Source organism: Homo sapiens, chromosome 15 (assembly GCF_000001405.40).
Source record: "Homo sapiens chromosome 15, GRCh38.p14 Primary Assembly".
Classification (NCBI taxonomy): Eukaryota; Metazoa; Chordata; class Mammalia; order Primates; family Hominidae; genus Homo; species Homo sapiens.
The window spans coordinates 57,987,529-58,011,288 of NC_000015.10; the positions used below are offsets into that span (position 1 = coordinate 57,987,529).

General features: G+C 37.0%; 1 protein-coding gene across 4 annotated transcripts in view; it reads right to left on the reverse strand.

Moving 5' to 3' along the window:
* The window catches only part of ALDH1A2 (aldehyde dehydrogenase 1 family member A2), a 112,283-nt gene that overhangs the window by 34,100 nt on the left and 54,423 nt on the right, over positions 1-23,760 (reverse strand). For 3 of the 4 annotated variants that reach the window (NM_003888.4, NM_001206897.2, NM_170697.3), the window contains 4 exons: positions 23,121-23,250; positions 7,550-7,611; positions 5,417-5,545; positions 5,177-5,290 (listed from right to left, as the gene is read on the reverse strand). In NM_003888.4, coding sequence (NP_003879.2) covers positions 5,177-5,290; positions 5,417-5,545; positions 7,550-7,611; positions 23,121-23,250 — 435 coding nt within the window. The remainder of the gene's footprint in view (positions 1-5,176; positions 5,291-5,416; positions 5,546-7,549; positions 7,612-23,120; positions 23,251-23,760) is intronic. The other variant, NM_170696.3, reaches the window with a different exon arrangement.

The following is a 23,760-nucleotide window of genomic DNA, read 5'->3' on the forward strand; positions in this document are numbered from 1 at the left end:
ATAAAACACAAACTGTCACATTAGAATTTTATATCCAGAAAAAAAAGTTAGTTATTAAAAAGTGAAGACAGGCCGGGTACAGTGGCTCATGCCTGTAATCCCAGCACTTTGGGAGGCCGAGGCGGGCGGATCACGAGGTCACGAGATCCAGACCATCCTGGCTAACATGGTGGAACCCCGTCTCTGCTAAAAATAAATACAAAAAAATTAACCAGGCATGGTAGCGGGTGCCTGTAGTCCCAGCTACTCGGAAGGCTGAGGCAGGAGAATGGCGCAAACCTGGGAGGCAGAGCTTGCAGTGAGCCTGAGCAACTACTGCACTCCAGCCTGAGCGACAGTGAGGCTGACCCCTCAAAAAAAAAAAAAAAAAAAGGTGAAGACAAAATGAAGCCATTTTTTAGACAAACAAAAGCTGAGAGAAGTCATCACTAGTAGACCTACGCTACAAGAAACGTTAAAGATCGTTACAGATAAGGAAAATTATGCCAGAAGGAAATGGGCCTACAACACAAACAAGGAAGGAGGCCAGGAATAGCAAGTATGTGAGTAAACAGACAATAATTTTGTATTCTTATTCAAAAAACAAATTTTAAAACAAAAACAGCAGCAATGTATTGTGGGGCATATAACCTATGTCTAAGTAAATTATAGGGCAACAATAACACAAAGGATGAGATTGGAACAATGCTGCTGTATGGTTACCACACTGTATATGAAGTAACATAAAGTATTTAATGGTAGACTGTGATTGAGGTGCATATTGTACACACTAAAGCAAACACTTTAAAAAGAGGTACAGCTAATAATGCAAAATAGAATAAAAAGAGTGGTAAAATTATCTAACTCAACCAAAAGAAGGCAGACAAAGAGGGAAAATATGGACAAAGAGAAAACAAATCAAAATGGGGGATTTTAGACCCGACCATATCATTAATACATTGAATGTTGAACAACAAAAATGAAAACACGAAGAGTAGATATTATTCCATTTATATGAAATTCTAGAATAGGCAAAAATAATTAAAAAGAATCAGTGGTTGCCAGAAGCCAAGGGTGTTACCTGCAAAGAGGCATGAGAAATCTTTCTAAGGCATGGAAACAATCTACATCTTGATTCGGATGGTTACACAGGTGTATATACATGGTACTTAAATGGGTGCATTTTATTGTATGTAAATTATACTTCAGTAAAGTCATTTAAAACGTTAAAAGATCTTCAGTGGCAAAACAGATTTGAACCCAAGCTGCCTTGCAATAAGCACTTATGGTTTTATGGACTCACTATGTGGCTTCTTGTCTGGCCTGAAAGAGGAGATTCCATTTATTCAATTTAACTTCCACTACCTGATATTGTTATGTGCCGGGCGCAGTGGCTCACACCTGTAATCCCAGCATTTTGGGAGGCTGAGGCTGGTGGATCATGAGGTCAGGAGTTCAAGACCAGCCTAGCCAACATGGTGAAACCCCATCTCTACTTAAGATAAAAAAAATTAGCCAGGCATGGTGGTGCGTGCCTGTAGTCCCAGCTACGAATCACTTGAACCCGGGAGGCAGCGGTTTCAGGGAGCCGAGATCACGCCATTGCGCTCCAGCCTGGGTGACAGGGCAAGACTCCATCTCAAAAATGTTACTCGTTTTTAGACTGAAATATCTTGGAAGAAAACATTAAATGCTAGAAGTTAATTTATCAAGAAATTCCTAACACCTATATGATGACATCAGTGATGAACATTACAACAAATAATTGAAGGGATTTTTATCATATTATATCATATTCCTAGATGAGGAGTCAATATGGTAAAGATAGCATTTTTCCTCATTTTAATATGGACATGTAATGTTATGCCAATCAAAATTCCAATCAAAGTTTTTTAGAGTAACATAAGGTACTTAGAAAATCGGTTTGAAATTTCTTCTAAAAGAATAAATGGGCTTTGAAAAACCAAATAAGAGGGTATGTTGCCTATATTATAGTAACACATCTTATAAAACCTAGTAATTAAGGCAGTCTGGTACTAGTGAAAGAACAGAAAAAATTATGAGCTCTAAAACAGAAATTTCCTGTATAGTTTGGTGCAAAAGTCATTGCAGTTTTTGCCATTAATCAAATTACTTTTGCTCCAACCTGTATATATGGAAATGCATCATGTAATGTTATATTCAGGCATCATGTAATGTTATATTCAGATGAGTTGCAAAGGGGTAGACTGTTTAATAAATTGTTTTGAAGTAACTAAACATTCATTTATAAACAAACAACCCTCACCTTTCATTATACATGAAAATAAATTCCAACCAGATTAAAGATTTAAACAACAAAACCATAAAAGTACTGAAAGAAAATATTAAGGGCCGTTTGTATAATCTTAAAGGGGTTTGTTCAAAAATGACAGGACGGAGCTTGCAGTGAGCCGAGATTGCGTCACTGCAGTCCGCAGTCCAGCCTGGGCGACAGAGCGAGACTCCGTCTCAAAAAAAAAAAAAAAAAAAAAATGACAGGAAATCCAGAAGCTGTCAGAAAAAGACTAAAGGAGAAGACTACATGAGAATTTAAAATCTGCACATGGCAAACAACTGTTTTAAAAAAATTAAAAAGCAAAGAACAAACATATTTTCAAATTCTACAACAAACAAAAGATTAACATACCTAACCTCTTATAAATGAAACCAATACTCTAAGGCCTTCTTGGTAAGCAAGTTGTAAATATGTTTTTATTTTGCAATTCCACTTCTAGAACCATATCCAACTGAGCATCTAATATGTACACATATACGTGTGTGTATACGTATATACATATGTGTATACAGTTACAGATTTACAAGTAAAATTTTTCTTGGGTCTCCAAAGGTTTTTATTTCAGCAGTCTGTTTAATAGGAAAAATTAGTGGAAAAACCACCCTCAAGTGTACATTAATACAGGATTAAATGATGATATACTGATGCAAGAGTATTCTATGCAGCTGTTAAAAATAAATGCCGGAGATGTAGGTACTAACATGACAAGGTGTTATCTCTTGTTTGACATATTATGCTGTCATTTTTAATTTAAAAAGTTACACAATAGGCCGGACACCGTGGCTCATGCCTGTAATCCTAGCACTTTGGGAGGCCAAGGCAGGTGAATTACCTGAGGACAGGAGTTCGAGACCAGCTTGGCCAACATGGCAAAACCCCCGTCTCTACTAAAAATACGAAAATTAGCCGGGCATGGTGGTAGGTGCCTATAATCCCAGCTACTTGGGAGGCTGAGGCAGGAGAATCGCTTGAACCTGGGGGGCGGAGGTTGCTGTGAGACAAGATTGTGCCACTTCAATCCAGCCTGGGCAAAAGAGTGAAACTCCATCTCAAAAAAAAAAAAAAAAAAATTACACAATAGAAGCCTCTTGACTGACTCAATCAGGACCATTGGTTGGTCAACAGAAAAAGGTTAAAGCAGAAAAAGATACTTTAAATATTTCATTTCTCCAGTCTTTTGATATAGAACCAAGAACTTTACTTAATCATGGGTCCACCTGTCTCTTCTGATTAAATCACACCCCTAAATTATTATTTATGATTTCTGGTTTCAATTTCCTTAAAGTGAAGTAAGGACTTAAGAACATTTGCAAAGCAATTCCAGGTGCCCATTCTATCTAGGTTTATATTTTTCCCCAGTCTTTTACAGTTGTCTTAAATTGATTGCATCTTTAGTTTTTCTTAGCATCTAGCCTTTAGCAAATATTTTCAAAGCATTAAACTTCAGAATAATTAATAATTCCCTTTCATACTCACATTTTGGTTTAAATATTTCATTAAACTGCAAAATTACAATAACAAATACAACTAGAATAAAATATTTGGAAACAAACAAGGTTAACTCGACAAACACAAAACTCAGTAATCTAACTGAATTAATATTCAAGTTTATTAATAAATCTTTTATTAAATTTACTACTGTGAGTCAGTTTAACCAAGTATAATTAACTCTGTATCAACTGATAAAATGTTTCTAGATCTGTGCTGTCCAATACGGTAGCACGCATGGCAATGGAGAACGTGAAATGTGGCTAGTCTGAAGAGATGTGCTGTCAATGTAAAACACATACCATATTTCAAAGAATGCATATGAAAAAGAATGCAAAATATTGTATTAATAACTTATAGTGATTATATGTTGCAATATTTTGAAAATACTGGATTAAAGTTATTAACATTAATTTCACGTATTTTTTAATGTGGCTACTAGCTTATTTTAAATGACAAATGTTGCTCTCATTCTATTAGATAGCACTGTTCTAGACCTGCGGACATCCTTTGTTCAATGATGATATCATCTGTGAGGTTCTACTTGAAACAATGAATCAGACTTTCCTATCATCTGTTACCTGGATCAGAGATATTTGAGTAACATTTATAAATCTTCTTAAGCTGACTTGTGACTCTGTAACAGGGATCTGTAAACTATGGCCCATGGGTCAAATATACCCTGCTGTTTTGGTATGGCCTACAAGCTAAAACCAGTTTTTGCATGTTTAAATGTCTAGAAACAATAAAAAGATTAGCATTTGTAATCCATACAAATTATGTAAAAATTCCAATTTCCATGTCTATAAATAAACTTTAATTGGCACATAGCCACACTCAATATTATCTATGACTGTTTGGTGATACTATGGCATGGCTGAGTAGTTGCAACAGAGACCACGTTGCCTCCAAAATTTACATTTACTATCTAGCCCTATACAGAAAAAAAATGTGCTGAGCCCTGCTCTATATCATCTCTTAAGGTTCATGGGGTATAGTGAGTTGCCAATTGCACCTACCGGACCTGTCCAAACAATGAGAAGGGAAAGCTTGTGTCTCCATTCTTATCCTTACCAGAGACTAGTTTAGATTTCCAGCTTCTTAACTTGCTTCTGCCGCTATTCAACAAAGTGTCTAGAACCCCACCTTCTGGGATAGTTCTTACACAGATGGTATCACAAAAATGCTCAGATATCTGTGGGGTCAAATGGTCCCTGTGTGCCTTTGCTTTCACATCCACCAGTGTTCTATGACACCAATGTTATCCTTTGTGGGCTTGGGTACTCACTGCCCTTTTGGTGTCTAGCCTATGGGTACTAGTTTTATTGTTTTTGTAACCCCTCAACTCATTTGCAAGACTGTTCCTCAAGCCCTGGTTTTTCAGATACCTACCTCAGTAGACCCTGTGAATGCAATCTTGTCTATGCCAATGTGAGAAGCTATTGCTGCCCCAGCCGTTGGCCCATATCCTGGCAAAATATTGATGACCCCGGGAGGAAAGCCAGCCTAAGAAAACAGAACAGGAGGAAACGTGGCTGATGAAAGCTGATGCATCATGTTAAATGAGATATGCTCTAGTAGGCTCCAGCTGTAAGGGGAGTCAGAAGCACTCCCGAAGTCCGTTTCTCTTACCTCCTTGATGAGGGCTCCCATGTAGAGTGCACTGAGTGGTGTTTGCTCTGCTGGCTTAATAACTACTGTATTGCCACAGCACAAAGCTGGAGCTATTTTCCAGGCAAACATCAGCAGGGGGAAGTTCCACTGAAAGGAAAAAACTCAAAGTTGATAGATGGAAAAACATTCTTCCACTACTTTGTTTTCAAGCTGTGACTTCTCATATTTCTCAAACTAGTCCTCGACATAAATCTTGTCCACTACAAAGTACAGATGTTTGGATTTTCAATTACTTCATTAAGAATAGAATAGCACTGACCTTGGAAATCTCTCCTTTTCTCTCTGACCAACCAATTACTATACTCCAACTACCCACCAAAAGAAATCCCACTGTGAAAAGGGAGTTTTGTTACTTCTTTGTTTTGTTTTGTCACTGTTTTTATGTTTTTTTTAATTAGGCTTTGGTTCCAATAAGTTCTCGTGTATGAAAACTTTTCTTGCATCTGAGATTTTTACATCACAATTTTCACACTGGTATGAAAGCTCTTCAACATGGAAAAACTAGAAAATTCTAACTGAGTTGTAGTTAAGTCAATGTGTATTTCAAGGTAGTACTTTTTCTTTAGATACATGCATTGTCACAAACATATATGATTACAAAAAATAAACTGCATATACTGATGAGTATGCAAAAATTTTCATTTGTCTCTTTTCCACTGTAAAAGAAGCTATTGGAGACTACAGTAACATTTACATGAGTAGATGAGGTTGGGGTCTAAAATGGTTTAAACTGATTTTAAAAAGATATTAAGCTTGTATTGTCATAAGCTCAGGCATGAGCCTCAGTACTATCAGGTGTCATTGATAATTTCATTAAGAAAGAAAACAGAAATCCTCATCCCCTGGCTTCAGCCCTTGACCACAATGTGTTTCTGCCTGAAGCATCTCAGCTGCCATCCTTCAAGGCTTCTCACTGGCTCTGGCAAGCTTGCAAAAATATACAAGTGTCTTGCCTTCACCAAACACCCAATTTCTTTTCCCCTTAGTTGTTTATAAACTTGGGAGTCCACCGTAATGTTTTAATTCCATCTACAGTGTATAAATCTTAAAGTGCAGTAATTGAGCCAGAGCTGGCTGACAAGCAGCTCTTGTCCTGTCAGTGAAGCTGCAGCGTTGAGAGTCTGGGCAAGGGCAAGAAAAGTAAGTTTGAATCCTACGAGGAAGGTGACAGACCTCATCCCAGAGCTGGTCCAAGTAGGATTTCCCCAGGGCCTTTAAGAGCAAGAGAACTTAAATCAAACCTCTCATTTTCCCTTGGCATTCTCTAATAAATTTCACAGTAACCTGGGATTCATCAATTATTCAAATAAATATTATATCTTCCCCACATCTTTGGTTCCCAATGCCAAAGATTATCTTGAGTTATACTACTGTACTTTGAAAAAAGAAAACTTCTTGTCTATACTGTAAGAGTTTACTTTGAGCATCCCCTTGAAATCCCTGCCAGAACTATTAGCTAGTACTGTTAAAAGCTATGGTCATGTTTTGTATTGTACCAAGGGTGTGTATGAGAGACAGACAGGAACAAAGGGACAATGTTTAATGTTCCAATCCAAACACTAAGCACTACATCTATTTCTCTTTACAAGACACATAACAGCTCGGCATGGTTTCAATTATGACTGTGACGTTAACTGTAGTGCTGTGTCTTCTGTAGCATCTTCTATCTAGATTCTTGAGAAAAGAAACAGTGGGAAAGAATGGGATTAAAAGATCATATAAAATAATATGCCTGGAAGGATGGTGAGTCACAGTTCTAAAAAATAAACAACTATAACAAAGCATTAATTTTCCATAAGCAGAATGGACATAATAACCAAGGGCAGGTTATTAATACACTGTGCTTTGCTTATTTTAATCATGAGAATTCCATGACTTGAGAATTCAACTCCTGGTAACAGAGCTGAAACCCTATTAACCTGTTCAAATAAGCATTTGCAGGGAGGCTGTTAAAGATATGTCAACAACATGAGCTCAGTTTTTTTTCCTCCAGTAATGGAAAACACACATCGCTGAGGACCATGTTTTATGTGTCTTTAAGAGAACTGGGTCAAATGAAAATAAATACGAGGTGCGAGGAAATACACTCACTGGGATGATCTGTCCACACACTCCAATGGGTTCATGTCTTGTAAAGGTAAAATAGTCTCCATCTGAAAGAAAAAAGCATGGTCACTCCCAGAAAGTTTAGATTAGGAAAAAAAATGCAAAGGGAGAACTTTGGTGGCTGCAAAAAAAAAAAAAAAAAAACAAACAGAAATAAACTTGAAAAAACATCCTACTCAACCGTGCATGAAAGCTGGTAGAAGCCTAACACTGGACATAGCATATTTCTGGATATATCTCTCAGACACCCAAATGCAGTATTGAGGAAAGGATCTCTAAGGCAAAATGAATGACAAATTTATGATACAAGAAGTCCTCAGGGTGGCAGAGGGGACAGCTGAAAAATATGTAAAAATTGAATTTTATGTTAAATATTAAAATAACATGTAGAACAGTTGTTTGATTTAAAAACTGAGTCAACAAACCTTTAAATAACTTTCTGAAGTATTAAAATAAACTAAGTAAAATGCTATTGGGCAAATTTAAAATGCTCGGCAACTGGAAAAAGTGAGGAGTAAAAGATATATTTCATAACTCAATCCAGGTGTCAAAATGTACTTCCTGGGTAGTGATGAGACATAGGCATGTCCAGGGCTATTTAAAGAAGGTAAAAGTCCATTTCTAAAAAGAACTCCATCAATAATCCAAAGCGTCTGCCCCCAAACTAGACATAGAAATGAGAATGTCCTAGGGGCTAAAAGAAAAAGAGCTTCAGAAAAACTTAATAACCTTGTTTTCCTTACAGGAGTAATAGGCAACTGAAATAATTATACAGGAAGTCCAAACCAAATTCATCTTTAGGAAAATGTCATTGCTTTTATCTGAATTATTTTAAATGGTTAATTAAAATTACCAAAGAATGGCTCATTTTTAGCAGATAGCTTTTCATTTTAAATACTGGGCAAAGTCTTTATTTTTCCCTCCACTGCCGGCCCTTAGGCCACTTCACTGATACTTGTTTTCTCTCTCAAAAGCAGTCCCCTAAGGCAAGTGAAAACACTCAGCTAATATTCATGAAAGCATAACTATTATAGGTGGAAATGAAGGTGGGGACAGGAGGACTGTGTGGGTCGGGAAAAGAGAAGCGATATGAATCAGATTGTTTATCACTGTCTCTCAACACACCTAAATCACATTTATCACACAAAATTGTTTTGACATATTCAAAATTATTTATTTTTTAAATAATTACATTAAAGTCTTGGCCTCTCTCTCTCTCTCTCTCTCTTACTCTCCCAGTGTCACTCTCTATCCTCTGGATCTCTGATCTCTACCCCCTCTTGCCATAATTATCTGTTTCCTCTTTTCAAGGAACTTTTATTCACATACAAGTATTTATAGGATCCTTTTATCCTCTTTTTTTTTATACAAACGGGATATTATTCAGTCTTTTATATTTTGTTTTTCCCTCTTTTTTTTTTTTTTCCTGTAAAGCTAGGACGTCTTTTTAGTGGCTGCAGGTTATTCCATGGGCTCAATAAACAATGTTACTACTGTAAACCCTCCTACTAAGGGACATAGAAGTCACTTTCAGTTTAGGCTATTATAAATAATGCTGCAAAGACTATCATTACAAACATATCTTTTCATATCTGTGGAATTTCTTGATCTAAGTGTATGTACATTTCAGATTTTCAAAAATATTGCCAAATCACCCTTCAGAAAAGTTTAACAATTCATAATTTCAACAACACGCTATTTTTCCTACTCTTTAACACTGAGGTTTTTCCAACATTTTCATTTCAGCTAATCTGATAGCTGGAAAACTGCAACTTGTTTTGATTTATGTTTAATGATAGAGTGAACATCTTTTCATGCTTATATTGTTTGCTATTTTTCTATTGGGTTATTCTTTTTAGCCATTTGAAGAGCTCTATGGATATTAAGGAAATTAGGCCTCTGTCATAATATTGCAAAGATTTTTCCCCAATCTGCTACTTATCTCTTGACTTTGTTTTATGTATATTTTAAATGGAAGAAATTCAGAAGTAGGCTGGATTCTGCAACTGTATGAAATTAATTTAAAATATCTATTACGAGAAAAAATAGCGAAGATGTTGCAACTGTCCATAGGATGACAGTATGAAGTCTGAGTAATACTTTAAACATCAAATTAACTATTTAGCTTTGTATGCAGATAACTAAAGAATCTTCTGGATATCATTCTTTACAAGACTACAAATTACCATGCTTCTTCAATTTGTAAATCTCTGAAAAGGTTTTTCATGAGGAGCAACACCACTGATCAATAAGCTAGAGTTTCATTTACAAGAAAATCTTCTGCAACTGAACTCTCTAAGTTGGTTAAGGTGATGGGTTCAGGTGGATAGTCACAGACCACAGAATCAGAGAGTAATGTCAAGAAAGAGTGCAAATGGGGCTGAGGAAAAAAATTGGAAGATGAACAGAAGAGTACACGTGTTTATTTTAGCAGCACATGTAGGAACCTGGAATGGTTCAGAAAAAAAAACTCACAAGGCAACTACACAAGCACTGCATGGCAATTCATAAACCATTTCCCCCTACACATTTTATGATGCTTAGACATTTAGTTGTTTTACTTAAATAATATCACAAGTTACCGAAAAAAGTGAAAGGGAAGAAAATGTAGACAAAAATCTTAAAAGTCGGACCTCATGAGGAATTGAGTTTGACTCCATAATTGTGTCTCAAGAGAAACTGAGTTATGAGGAATTAAAACTCTCTTGGATAAACCGTTCACATATTTGAAAAGCATTTAGCTACAGGCTAACACAGGGAAAGAGACAGAATCTTCTAGTCCCTACAGTTAGTCTAAGTAGCAAATTAAAAAATAAACGCTATTTTTGTGCTTGAACTCTTCCCAAAAGAGCACTGAGTTGAAGGGACAAAGAAAGGAGGCTACTTTCAATAAAATTCAACATTCCTTCAGGTTAAAAACTCTCAATAAAGTAGAGGCATTGATGGAACATACCTCAAAATAATTAAGAGTCATTTATGGCAAACTCACAGCCAATATCATACTGAACAGGCAAAAGATGGAAGCATTCCCCTTGAAAACTAGCACAAGACAAGGATGCCCTCTTTCACCACTCCTATTCAACATAGTATTGGAAGTTCTGGCCAGTTCTTTCTCAGGCAAGAGAAAGAAATAAAGGGCATTCAAATAGGAAGAGAGAAAGTAAAACTGTCTCTTTTTGCAGATGACATGGTCCTATATCTAGAAAACCCCATTGTCTCAGCACAAAAGCTTCTTAAGCTGATAAGCAACTTCAACTAAGTCTCAGGATACAGAATCAATGTGCAAAAATCACAACCATTCCTATACACCAACAATAGACAAGCAGAGAGCTAAATCATGAATAAACTCCCATTCATAATTGATACAAACAGAATAAAGTACCTAAGAAATACAGCTAATAAAGGAAGTGAAGGACCTCTTCAAGGAGAACTAAAAACCACTAATCAGGGAAATCAGAGAGGATACAAACAAATGGAAAAACATTCCATGCTCATGGATAGGAAGAATCAATACCATGAAAATGGCTATAATGCCCAAAGTAATTTAAAAATTCAATGCTATTGTCATTAAACTACCACTGACATTCTTCACAGAATTAGAAAAAATAACTTTAAATTTCATATGGAACCTAAAGAGCCCATATAGCCAAGACAATCCTAAGCAAAAAGAACAAAGCTGGAGGCATCATGCTACCTGACTTCAAACTATACTACAAGGCTACAGTAACCAAAACAACATGGTACTGGTACAAAAACAGACACACAGACCAATGGAACAGAATAGAGAAATCAGAGATAAGACCACACATCTACAACCATCTGATCTTCGACAAACCTGACAAAAACAAACAATGGGGAAAGGATTCCCCATATAATAAATGGTGCTGGGAAAACTAGCTAGCAATATGCAGAAAATTAAAACTGGACCCCTTCTTTACATCTTATACAAAAATTACCTCAAGATGAATTAAAGACTTAAGTGCAAAACCCAAAACTATGAAAACTCTACAAGAAAATCTAGGCAATACCATTCAGGACATGGGCATAGGCAAGATTGCATGATGAAAACGTCAAAAGCAATCGCAACAAAAGCAAAAATTGACAATTTGGATCTAATTAAACAAAAGAGCTTCTGCACAGCAAAAGGAACTATCAGAGTGAACAGCCTACAGAATGGGAGAAATTTTTTGCAATCTATGCATCTGACAAAGGTCTACTATCCAGAATCTACAAGGAATTTAAACAAATTTAGAAGAAAAAAATAACCCCATTAAAAAGTGGGCAAAAGGACATGAACAGACACTTCTCAAAAGAAGACAGTCACGCAGCCAAAAAACATGAAAAAAAGCTCATCATCAATGATCATTAGAGAAATGCAATCTAAACCACAATGAGAAACCATCTCACCCCACTCAGAAGGGCAATTATTAAAAAGTCAAGAAACAACAGATGCTGGCAAAGGTGTGGAAAAATAGGAACACTGTTCCTATTTCCCACTTTGTTTACATTCCCACTGTTGGTGGGAATGTAAATTAGTTCAACCATTGTGGAAGACAGTGTGGCAATTCCTCAAAGACCGAGAACCAGAAATACCATTTTACCCAGCAGTCCCATTACTGAGTATATACCCAAAGGAATATAAATCATTCTGTTATAAAGATACATGCATGTGTATGTTCATTGCAGCACTATTCACAATAGCAAAGACGTGGAATCAACCCAAATCCCCATCAATGATAGACTGGATAAAGAGAATGTGGTATATATACATCAAGGAATACTATGCAGCCATAAAAAGGAATGGGATCATGACCTTTGCAGGGACAATAGATGGAGCTGGAAGCCATTAACACAGGAACTAACACAGGAACAGAAAACCGAACATCACATATTTTCATGTATTGGGGGAGCTGAACACACATGGACACAGGAAGGGGAACAACAGACATTGGCACCTTTCTGGGGAGGGGTGGGGGAAGGCAGAATATCAAGATAAATAGCTAATGCATGCTGGGCTTAATACCTAGGTGATGGGTTGACAGGTGCAGCAAACCACCATGGCACACGTTTACCTGTGTAACAAACCTGCACAGGTAATCCAGAACTAAAATAAAATAAAGGGCCCTAGACCTTGTAATCTCACTTTGCATTTTCACGTGGATGGTGAAAGGTGACACCCCTAGTCTGATCTGGGGTGCCTGACAAACACAAGAGCTAAGCCTTCTGTGGGCACCTTCAGCTAGGGCTAACAGCACCCCAGAAGTCATTCACAGCTACTAAGACCCTACTATGAATTCCACTGAACTTCTAAATCAGGGTTACCGTAAGACCAGTTATAAAAGCCATCTTCATAATTTTTGCCATTTCCAAGTATCATTTGCTCTGTCATTTACTTAATTTCTGTTAAATTAACTCACCTGTTAGAAATATGTAAATAGCTACCTGTTAGCCTTAAGGAAAATCTAAAATCTAAAATAACAGGTTTCATGGGCTGGTAATATTTTCTTCTAATATTCTTCAAACCAAGGAATTAAAATTAAAAAAGTTTACTTGCTTACTGTATAGAATCATCTTGAATGCTACCAGTGCTACACGGGATGCTATATGGTGATTCTCAAACTTGAATGTACACACTAAGCAACTGGAGATCTCGTGAATATACAGATTCTGAATCAACAGGTCTAGGATGGGACCAGAGAGTCTGCATTTCTACATGCTCTCAGCTGAGGCTCATGCTTCTGATCCACAGACCACACTCTGAGTAGCAAGATCAGGAGTGTAAAGGGGAGTCCACGTGTATTATGATGCCCTATGGTTGCTTCACAGTTGTCTGCCTTCATTTTTATTTATTTTTTGTCTCTCTAATAACTCTACTAATTTTCCTGAAAGGAGTATATAGTGTAGGAGAATCTGATCTGTATTTTTAATACTTCAAAATTGTTAAAAAAAAAAAAAAAAAAAGAATGAAAACACTATTAGAATTTCTGTAGAGCCTTATAATTTTCACATCCTTATCTCATTTTACACTCAAAACTCTCTGAAAAAAATAGAGCAACTATCATTATCAGCATCTTATAAACAGAGAAAATATGGCACAGAGAGGTTAAGTCCAAAGTGGCACCACTGGTTGAGGCTCCTGGACTTGGATCTGGGTCTTCAGACTTCAAGTTCTTTACCCATAAAAACATATTAATGACTCTTGTGAGGAAGGTGTTGGATTTAGGTGGATAATCACAAATCACAGAATTAGAGTATAATGTCAAGAACAATCACAAATGGGGTAAAAATAAACAAAGAAAAAACCTCAATGACAACTCTTTTGTAATATGAACACAGAACACATGGAAACTTGTTATAAAGGGAACACTACAGAGAAACATTCCCTGGAATAGGTGAGCCCAGGACTAAGCGCCTCTCTCCCTTTCATCTAGGCAGAGCCAACTCGAAATGGAGACAGTGTTAATTCTCCCTCTCATCTATACCTCAGATGATACATAATGAGTACTCTTCTCTGCCTAGAAAAAATTAAAGCCAATTTTCCATCTTTTATGCTAACAATGGTCTCTCAGTATGGCAGGATGACTTAGAAGGTTGTTTCCTTCATTTCTCTAGCTTTGTGCTGTAAGCTCAACAGCCTGATATAAAAACAGTCTCCACCCAAATTCAGATACTCCATTGTAGGGTATGAATGGTTTTGGATCTTCTTAGCAAATATGAGGGATTACAGAGAGTGCTCAGACTTAGCATAAAAAAGGACTGCATTTGATGGGGACACCAGAAAATGTTCTGGATACCACATTGTAGGTCAATAGGTGAGAACACAACTATGATGGAGAAAACTAAAGAAAAGATGAGAGATCAAAACAAATACTAAGTCACACGTGTAGGACTTTTGATCTCTGTCTCTTTTCCCTTTCACTCAGAAGGTAAAACGCAGACTAACAGATATTGCTCTTAAAGGGGGGTTATTTTAAGACCCAGTCAGAGGTAACTTTTCTGATGAGTTTTGATACCTGGGTGCTTTTAATGACCAAATAGTAGTTTACAACTTATGGAAAATATAAAAATCTTACAATTAAATACTTCATTATGCTATGAATTTGGCTGAGCTGTGAATTAAATTTTACTGAGTATGTGTGCATTGAGCCATTTCTATAATTATATTAAGAACAGCCCTTGCTGCTAGAGATCAACAGTACAATAAGCCTCTACTATATTTGCGAACTACTGAGCCACTGTTCTATGTTTTTTGATGGGGCCTTATCAAACTACACAGAAGAGAGAGAAATATTTAATTAGAAAAATTTAATTATTTGGATAATTCATTCAAGGCAAACATTACTTCTTAAATCAGATCTTACAGTTGCCTGAAAGAAACTGATGGAATTTTTAGTCTCATAAAAATATCTCGCATTGGCACATCCTATATATTAATATAAACTAGAGTGAGTATGACTAAGCAATCTGTAAACAGTGATAAAATCAGAAGAATCTGAAATGTGCCAGAAATTGAGAAATTTGTCAAATATGGAAGTCAAATAGCTTCCAATTATAACACTAAGAACACTACAAGAACTGTAGCAAATTTTATATACCTAGTAACAATAAAAACGATTTTATTCAATAGCATAAAAATCTGTAACACAATTCAGTGAATGAAGGTCATCTTCCAATCCCTAATTTGTAGACAGAATTACCTTTCAAGGAGCTGGCAATTCTTTGATGACCACAGTATTAAAAAATGAGATGATTACATTGAACTATTCCATTATGTATGTACTGTAGCAGATTCCCATCATGTTGACGTTGAACAGACCTCACCCAACATTTTATAACTATGATGATAAACTCTATAAATGCCTATACAAACGCTGAAACTGTATGTTAGTATGAAGTGTACTGATGCTTTTCTTCCCAGAAGTCTGCTGGTAGTTTCTAAGAAGTTAGATTATGTTCCTGAGTCTGTCATGAAGATAGCTTAGCTCTACGACTATTCCACTACATGATCGTAACAAAAGTTAGTTTACTTCTCTGGACCTTCTCTGTAAAATCAGGAGATCAGCCTTAGGGATCCCTGAGGCCCTTTTCAGCTTCAACCTCTTAAAAAGGTTCCTTGTGAAGCTGACTTCATGACCTCCTGTCACAATCAATTCAGGTCCCACTAACAAGCAAGCCCTGGTTGTTGTTAGGTGGGCAGAGCAAATCACCCCTCACTCTTATTCTGATGGAACAAGAATACTTCAGATTTCACCCTATGCATTTGTTAATGACAGTAAACCAGATCAAGCTGATTCAAGGCAAAATCTTAGGATCTGAATCACTATCTTTGTGTATTTGTATCCTATTCTTTAACAGGTTAAACTGGAAGAGGGTGAAATGGAAAGTTATATATGACCTGGGTAGTTTTTAACCTTTTCTATATGCTAACATATCGTAAGTCCATTTTAATATCAGAATTCAGCTTAAAACATGGACATTTTTTTCTGCTTACATAAAATCAGTAAAATCAACACTTGCTACAGAGAAAAATCTAAGGCAATACAAATTAACTTCCATTTCTCCCTAAGTAAATGAAAACCAAGCGTTGATCCTTCCTTCATCACAAAGAGGTTGTAGACGTGAGAGAAGAGGATTTGAATACAGGTTAAAAATACTCAAAATGGAGAAAACAATACTTTTCTTTAGGGCTGCTATAACATTAGCGATAATGTAACAGGTAAAAAAGTGTTCCATAGGTCATAGTAATGATTATTATTTATCATCATAATTAGGCACTGCCATCGTAAAAGGGTCAAAGCTTAGGATTTATGGTCAGAGACAATGGCTCCATTGGGTACCATGGCAGGAAATAATGGATAGTGTTGTAAAGGAAACAACATCAAGACTCTTGTGAATCAAACTAGTATTGCATAATTGTGCAATAACATCCAGCTGTGGGCCTTGAGCGAAACAGAATGAAGAGTGGTGGGAGAAATTTCCAATTCAGAGAGAGAAGCAGCCACCCACTTTTTCATTGCTCAAAAGTGGTCATGAGATAACCCTTTTGTCTCCTTCCCAAGTATTCTAGTTGAAGGCTACCCTTTACGGGGAGAAATTAAGCAGGTATTTGCTCTCTCTAACTGATTATCCATCTGTAGTCAAAGTGAAATCTATCCTTTATGGGGAGAAATAAAACAAGTACTTGCTGTCTCTAACTGATTATCCATTTGTAGTCAAAGTGCTCTTTCTAAAATGCAATTTTTCAAATAGATTCAACGGGTTTATGTGCAGATTTGTTACATGGATATATTGCATAACTATGAGCCTTGGGCTTCTAGTGCGCCCATCACCAGAATAGTCAACGTGGTACCCAACAGGTAGTTTTCAATCCTCAGCCCCCTCTCACTCTCCCTCCTTTTGAAGGCTCCCAATGTGTATTAGGTCTCTCCGTATGTCCATGTTTACCTACCGCTTAGCTCTCACTTATAAGTGAAAGCATGTGGTATTAGTTTCTGTTTCTGGGTTATTTCACTTATTTCAGTATAATGGCCTCCAACCCCATCCATGTTGCTGCAAAAGAAATGATTTCATAATTTTTATGGCTGTGTAGTATCCCATGATTTGTGTGTGTGCGTGTGTGTGTGTGTGTATATATATACATATATATATATATTTTATCCAGTCATCCATTGAACAGCACTTAGGTTCATTTTATTTACAATAGCCCCTCCAAAATACCTAACAATATTTAATTAAGGAGGTGAAAGATCTCTACAAGCAGAAGTACAAAATACTAATGAAAAAAATCACCGATGACACAAATGGAAAAACACCCCATGTTCATGGATTAGAAGACTCAATATTGTTAAAATGACCATACTTTCCAAAGCAATATACAGATTTGATGCAATTCCTAAAATGTAATTTTGATCAAGGCACTCACCTATTTAATTTGGTGACTCACTATTGCCTACAGAATAAAACTTGCAGCATGGCTGACCCAGACTTGGGGCTCTACTGTCTTTCATATCTGCTTATACTTTTAGATCCACTAACTCATGGTACTCTCCTCCCTCATACTTTGTGCCAGCTACTCCCACTGCCTGTAATGTCCCTGACTCCATGTTCACTTAACTTGTCCTTCAGGTTATCACTTAGACATCCCACCACCCTCTCCAGGAAGCCTTAATACTAGGAGATGTCTCTCCTATGGTGTCCCACCAAATTTCATGCTTCCATATCTAAATAGATCACACTATATTGCAGTTGCTTCGCTACTTGTTTTTCTTACTGTCCTATAAACATCTTAGTTATTTGCCTTTGTAACCCAATGCCTAATACAGGAGCTGAAACATAGCAGATGCTAAAAAAAATCTGCTGAATAAATGAATGTATGAAGAAATGGGTGAAGGAATAAGAGATCAAAGTTGATGCCACAGAAAGGAGGTAAAAGAAAATCCCTTCCAATTACATGATACCTTTCCCTAGCCTTCCCAAATGGGAATGAGTGAAAGACATAATGGCTTATTTCTTCCCATTCTTTTTGGTTGTTTAGTGTTAGAGATGTTATGCTGGATGAACCATGGAGTATAATTCAATGTTGTAAAGCAGTCTTACATCTAAAAATTTAACAACAAAAAACCCTATTTCAGGTTCTTTTTTTATGGGTGACCAAACAGAACTGTGTTACTATCTCTGACACTCACTATGAAAGCCCCCTTTACCCATATGATTAGGATCTAGGCAGGGAGATCCCCACCTCAAGTGTTCCAGAACATTTAAGCTTCATAAATGCTATCTTGAGAAAAGTAGGCTCTAGATACAGTCGATTTTCATTATTTGTGGATTCCATATTTAAGGACTTGCCTACTACCTAAAATTTATTTGTAACCCAAAAATAAGTACAGAGTGTTCTCAGAGTCATTTACGGGCATGTATATCCAAAGCAGGGATTTTTTTTTTTTTATTTCAATAGTTTTGGGAGTACAGGTGGTGTTTGGTTACATGAATAAGTTCTTTAGCAGTGGTTTCCAAGATTTTGGTGCATCTGTCACCTGGGTAGTGTACACTGTACCCAATATGTAGTCTTTTATCACTCACCCCACTCCCATCCTTCCCCAAAGTCCATTATAACAGTCTTACGCCTTTGCATCCTCATAGCTTAGCACTTACTTAGAAGTGAGAATATAAGATATTTGGTTTTCCATTCCTGAGTTACTTCACTTAGAATAATGGCCTCCAGCTCCATTCAAGATGTTGCAAAGACCATTATTTCATTCTGTTTTATGTCAGAGTAGTATTCCATGGTGCATATTTACCACACCTTCTTTATCCACTCGTTGGCTGACGTGCAGTTAGGTTGGTACCATATTTTTGCAGTTTCAAATTGTACTGCTATAGACATGCATGTGCATGTGTCTTTTTCATATAATGAATTATTTTCCCTGGGTAGGTACACCCATTAGTGGGATTGCTGGACCAAATGGTAGTGCCACTTTTAGTTCTTTAAGGAATCTCCATACTGTTTTCTGTAGTGATTGTACTAGTTTACATTCCCAACCAGCAGTGTGTAAAAGTGTTCCCTCTCACCACATCCACGCCAACATCTATTTTTTTTATTTTTAAATTATGGACTTTTTTTTTTTTTGCAGTAGTGAGGTGGTTCAGCTGTGGTTTTAATTTGCATTTCCCCAAAGCAGGGAAAATTTTGAGTCACCTGATGCACAAATTCTCAGCTGGGGTTGAGCAAGGTGACACTCTGCCTTCTTGCTTCAGCTCTCATATTGTTAAAAAAAAAAAAAAAAAGTGTCCTTTTTTGTGGTCTGTTTAGTGCCACATTTTTCATATTTTTGTGCCTTTTGTTCACAATTTTGCTGTTTAAAATGGCCCCTAAGCATAGTGTTGAGTGCTGTCTAGTGTTCCTAAGTGCAAGAATGCTGTAATGTGCCTTACAGAGAAAATACATGTGTCACACAAGCTTCATTCAGGCATCAGTTATAGTACTTCTGTCTGGTTGGCCATGAGTTCAGTGTTCATAAATCAACAATATATATTAAACAAAGAATCTTTCAACAGAAACACATAAATCAAGGCCATTCTCTGATCAGCAGACAAGAATGTTGTGATCAGAAGCTCACAGGAACCTAATCTTTTATTTCCCCTAGGAGCAATAGTTCCATATTTGCTAATTCAGTGTTCGTGACAACTTTATAAAACATAACTACTATGAATGATGAGAATAAACCATATATTAGTATAAAAATCTGCACTGGGGTAAAGACTTCATCATATTAGTATAAAAATCTGCACTGGGGTAAAGACTTCATCAGGGCCACCTTCCTGCCTTGCTGAACCAATCTCCATAAGAAGAGAATTTATCATGGCTTAGGCAGAACAACACTTAAGTTTGAATCTCACGTCTCCCACTTACTAGCCATGTGACCTTCTACAAGACACTAAACCCTTGCAGTCTTATTTTCTTAGATGTAAAATGGGTAAAATACCATTTAAAATCCAGACTATCTCATCAGATCACACACAGAATCACATAGATATTGTACATAAAAGAATATTTTATACTTTTAAATTCTATGCAAATATAAAGTACATTATTTCTTTATAATTCCCAACATAAAATTAGGTTGTTTTGTAGGAAAATGCATTTAGCACAATAAAGATCTCATGGTTAAAGACTAACGGACTTTCTATATTCCAGACTTCACTGTGAAAAAAAAAAAAGCCAAGTATGCAGAGACAAAATGAAGCTGATGTTAAATTATGGAGTTACAAAAGACAAATACAAATGGATTAATTTACTGAACAAATTTGAGAACAAGTGAATAATTATGATTACGATACCCCTTTCTGTGATCTTCCCCTATGACTCCCCTGATTTAGTCCAGCTACATTCACTAAGCACTAGACTAGCTAAAGACATTGTTGGCTGAATTCTAAGTGGCCTCTAGGCAAGCCCAAATGTATCTAAAACTGGAAAAGAGAGGACAGCTGCCAAGTTAACCTCTACCTCCATCCTTCCCTCATCTGTTTGAGACACCATGGAGAGAGCTCTTATGACCCAAACTTCAGCCTCCTGAGAATTCTGTCAACAGGCCTGATGGCAGGGAGGGTACCTCATCCTAGTATGACTCTAAATGCACTTTCAGAAAAACTTTTTGGGGAAAAACAGTTACTTAGAGTTTAAGAGAATTCATCGTTTTTTTTCCTTCATTGACTGAACAACAGTTAATGAGTAAAGTGGGGAAAGACTACTGTGAGAGCCCTATGAGAGCCTTTTCTATGCCCTGTATTTATAACTCGTAGATAAGCATCCACAGGATCTCCAAAACGCATCAGATGAAAACAGTGAGGCTTATGGGCCAACCACCTCTATTGCCAGATCAAGTTACATTAAAGCTTCAAACATTATCAGGGATGTCAATCAATATTTAGCTTTATCTAATCAGGATCTTCCCTCCTGAGGAAGTAAAAGAAAACCAAGGTACCGTTAGGCCAAATAGAGATCTATGTGCATTGCCTTCTGTTTCACAATCTTCCTCAGAGCTTTGTAAATAGTTTGAAAAGATATTTAAACACCTGAAACATATTTGTTGTTTTAATAATGAAATGACAGGTGGAGTGGGGACCAAAAAAACCAACAACTAGGGACTTTGATCTTGTAAATTTACCTTTCTGTACTGATACAGGACAGGCCCACCTAAAAAGACTGACATGTGTCCCACTGTTGACAAAGGTTTTAATTCTCAGGCCCTCTAATAGGTATGCTCATAACGAATAGTGACTTTCTACCTCACTTAGGCCATCCCCACATCTTGCAAGTGATGCTGGAAAACAGCTGTTCTGTAATATCCTTAGAGTCAGAACTGAACTAAGATTCTGACTTTCCCCAAGGGCAATCTTCTCCACCCTTCTCAGTCAGTTGAACAAGGGAAAAACCTCTAGATGGAAGGGAAGAGCCCCTACAATCAGAAACCCATTTTCTAAAAACTAACATTCCACATGTCATCATCATTTGTAGGGGCAATTTAAAAAATAATCCTTGGAAGTCTTGTCTCTAAATCATCTCCATTCTCACTGTAAATTATTCTTACCCTTGTCATACCACACCTACATGAGGCATCACAACAGCCACCTAACTTGGTTCTGCTGCATCCTCTCCTTGCTACTCAATGCAGAGGACCAGAAGCTGGTTAGACATGCAGAGTCTCAGGCCCCACCCCAGACTTATTCAGTCAAAAACTGCACTTGAAAAAGACCCTCAGTGATTCATGAGCACATTAAATTGGAGAAGAACTATTCCCAGCCATCCACACTATCAGCCAAACCACTCCCTTTTTTAGTAAATCAGTACTGCTCAGCCTGGCTAAGAAGGCCCAAAAGAGACACTTCGAAGTCCTGAGCATTACTTTCCAATCCTGCTACTATGCACTCTCCATGGAAAGCAGACTGCCTTCTGGAGAACACAGGTAGAACACCTGGCACAGTGCTAAGTGGCATCTAGTATCCACTCAATAAATGTGCATTTCCTTTCCTTATGTCTATTCACCACTTACTATCTCTTTCAGTCCATCCCTTTCCTATAAGGATATCTCTTCCTCCTAGGATCTATTTTGAATTCTCTAATGAAGTGGTTACAAGCCTAGGTTCTAACGTCAAAGTTTTAGCTCTAAAACTTATTTACTCTGTGAATTAGGAAAACTAATTTTACTTCGCCAGACCTCTTTCCACTTTTGTAAACTGAAGATGTTTGTAACAGTGCCTTTCTCTTGGGGTTGCTGTGAAAGCACTCAATTGGTATTAGCTATCACTAGTATTCAAGCACAGATAAAAATCTCTTCACTGACTGCTTTAGTTGCTTTAGTCTTCCATACTTTCCCTCTCATTTAAAGGGCTACAGCACTGACAGGTAAAGTACACAACTTAGCACCCAATTATAACACTCCTATAGGGGCCTTTAAGTTTTTTGTATTGTTGATTCTGTCATGTAACCTGAATCTTAATAATAAAAAGGGGTTAGGATTAGTGTTGTTTGTATAGATTATGAAAGTAATTCACGGCCGTTCGAGAAATATAGAAAGTAGAGAAAAATATTAAAAAGACACTGAAAATCAGCCATAATCTCACCACTCAGAGACAACTGTTAACACTTAGAATATTTCCTTCCAAAGAGTAGATCTTATATGTTTCAGGAGGGCAAGGAGCAAGTCTTAACCTCGTTGGAATTTTCCATGACTTCCCTCCACCCAATAATGCCCCTTCATACCTACCCCAGCACCTAATCTAGCACAATGCTGACCACTTACCAGCTGACAAATACATACCTCTTCCTTAGATGAATGATGTATTAAGTGGCATGCCCCTGTACTTATATATTTCTATCTATAGAAAAAGGGATGTTGTCAGAGTCAGTGACATAATTTGGTTGGTTCTTCACTCAGTTCTAACTGCTGTAAGTGTGCTCATATCTGTATTCTGTGTGACTGCTGTTTGTGTTTGGTGGCCAAAGCGCATTTCTGGTGGTTTCACGTTTTCCTTTTCAACGTACTCAGATTTCACATACCTACAGGAATGGTCATCCCATGAATTTTATCAGCCCAGCCTGCGTAATATCGAAAGGTTTTGATGACGCCCTGCAAATCCACATAAAAAGCTTGCAGGAATGGTTTGCCACCATTTAGGGATTCCATGGTCTGTTGGAAGAGAAATGGAGAGATACTAAGTCCCCAGAACTTTCCAGCGATACACTAATTTCTAGAGCAGAAGAAAAAAGGAAGAGAGAGAATACAAATGCATATGGAGTTGCATACCTGGTCAACTATGAATTCTCAAATAAAAAGATTTCTAGTACTGCCAGTTTGGTCTAGTTCCTAGTAAAAACCACAATGAGTATATATGTGCATATTCCTGTGCTTCCAGTAACCACTATCCAAATACGTTAACACAATATTTCTTTAACTAATGATAAAGAAATGTTCTGCTTGTCAAAACAGCTTCCGTTATATTAATGATCAGAGCTCACTGGGGATTTTTTGGCATCTACACCAGTAATCTGAATCCATAAAGAGGAGCAGAAACATGGGCTCTTTATGCAACTGATGAGAATAGAAAGTGTTCTCCACAGCTGCCAAGACCCCTGCTGAGAAATGGAATATCCATGGTGCACAGCAAGTTTATTTATTACCACCAAATAAACAAGATCT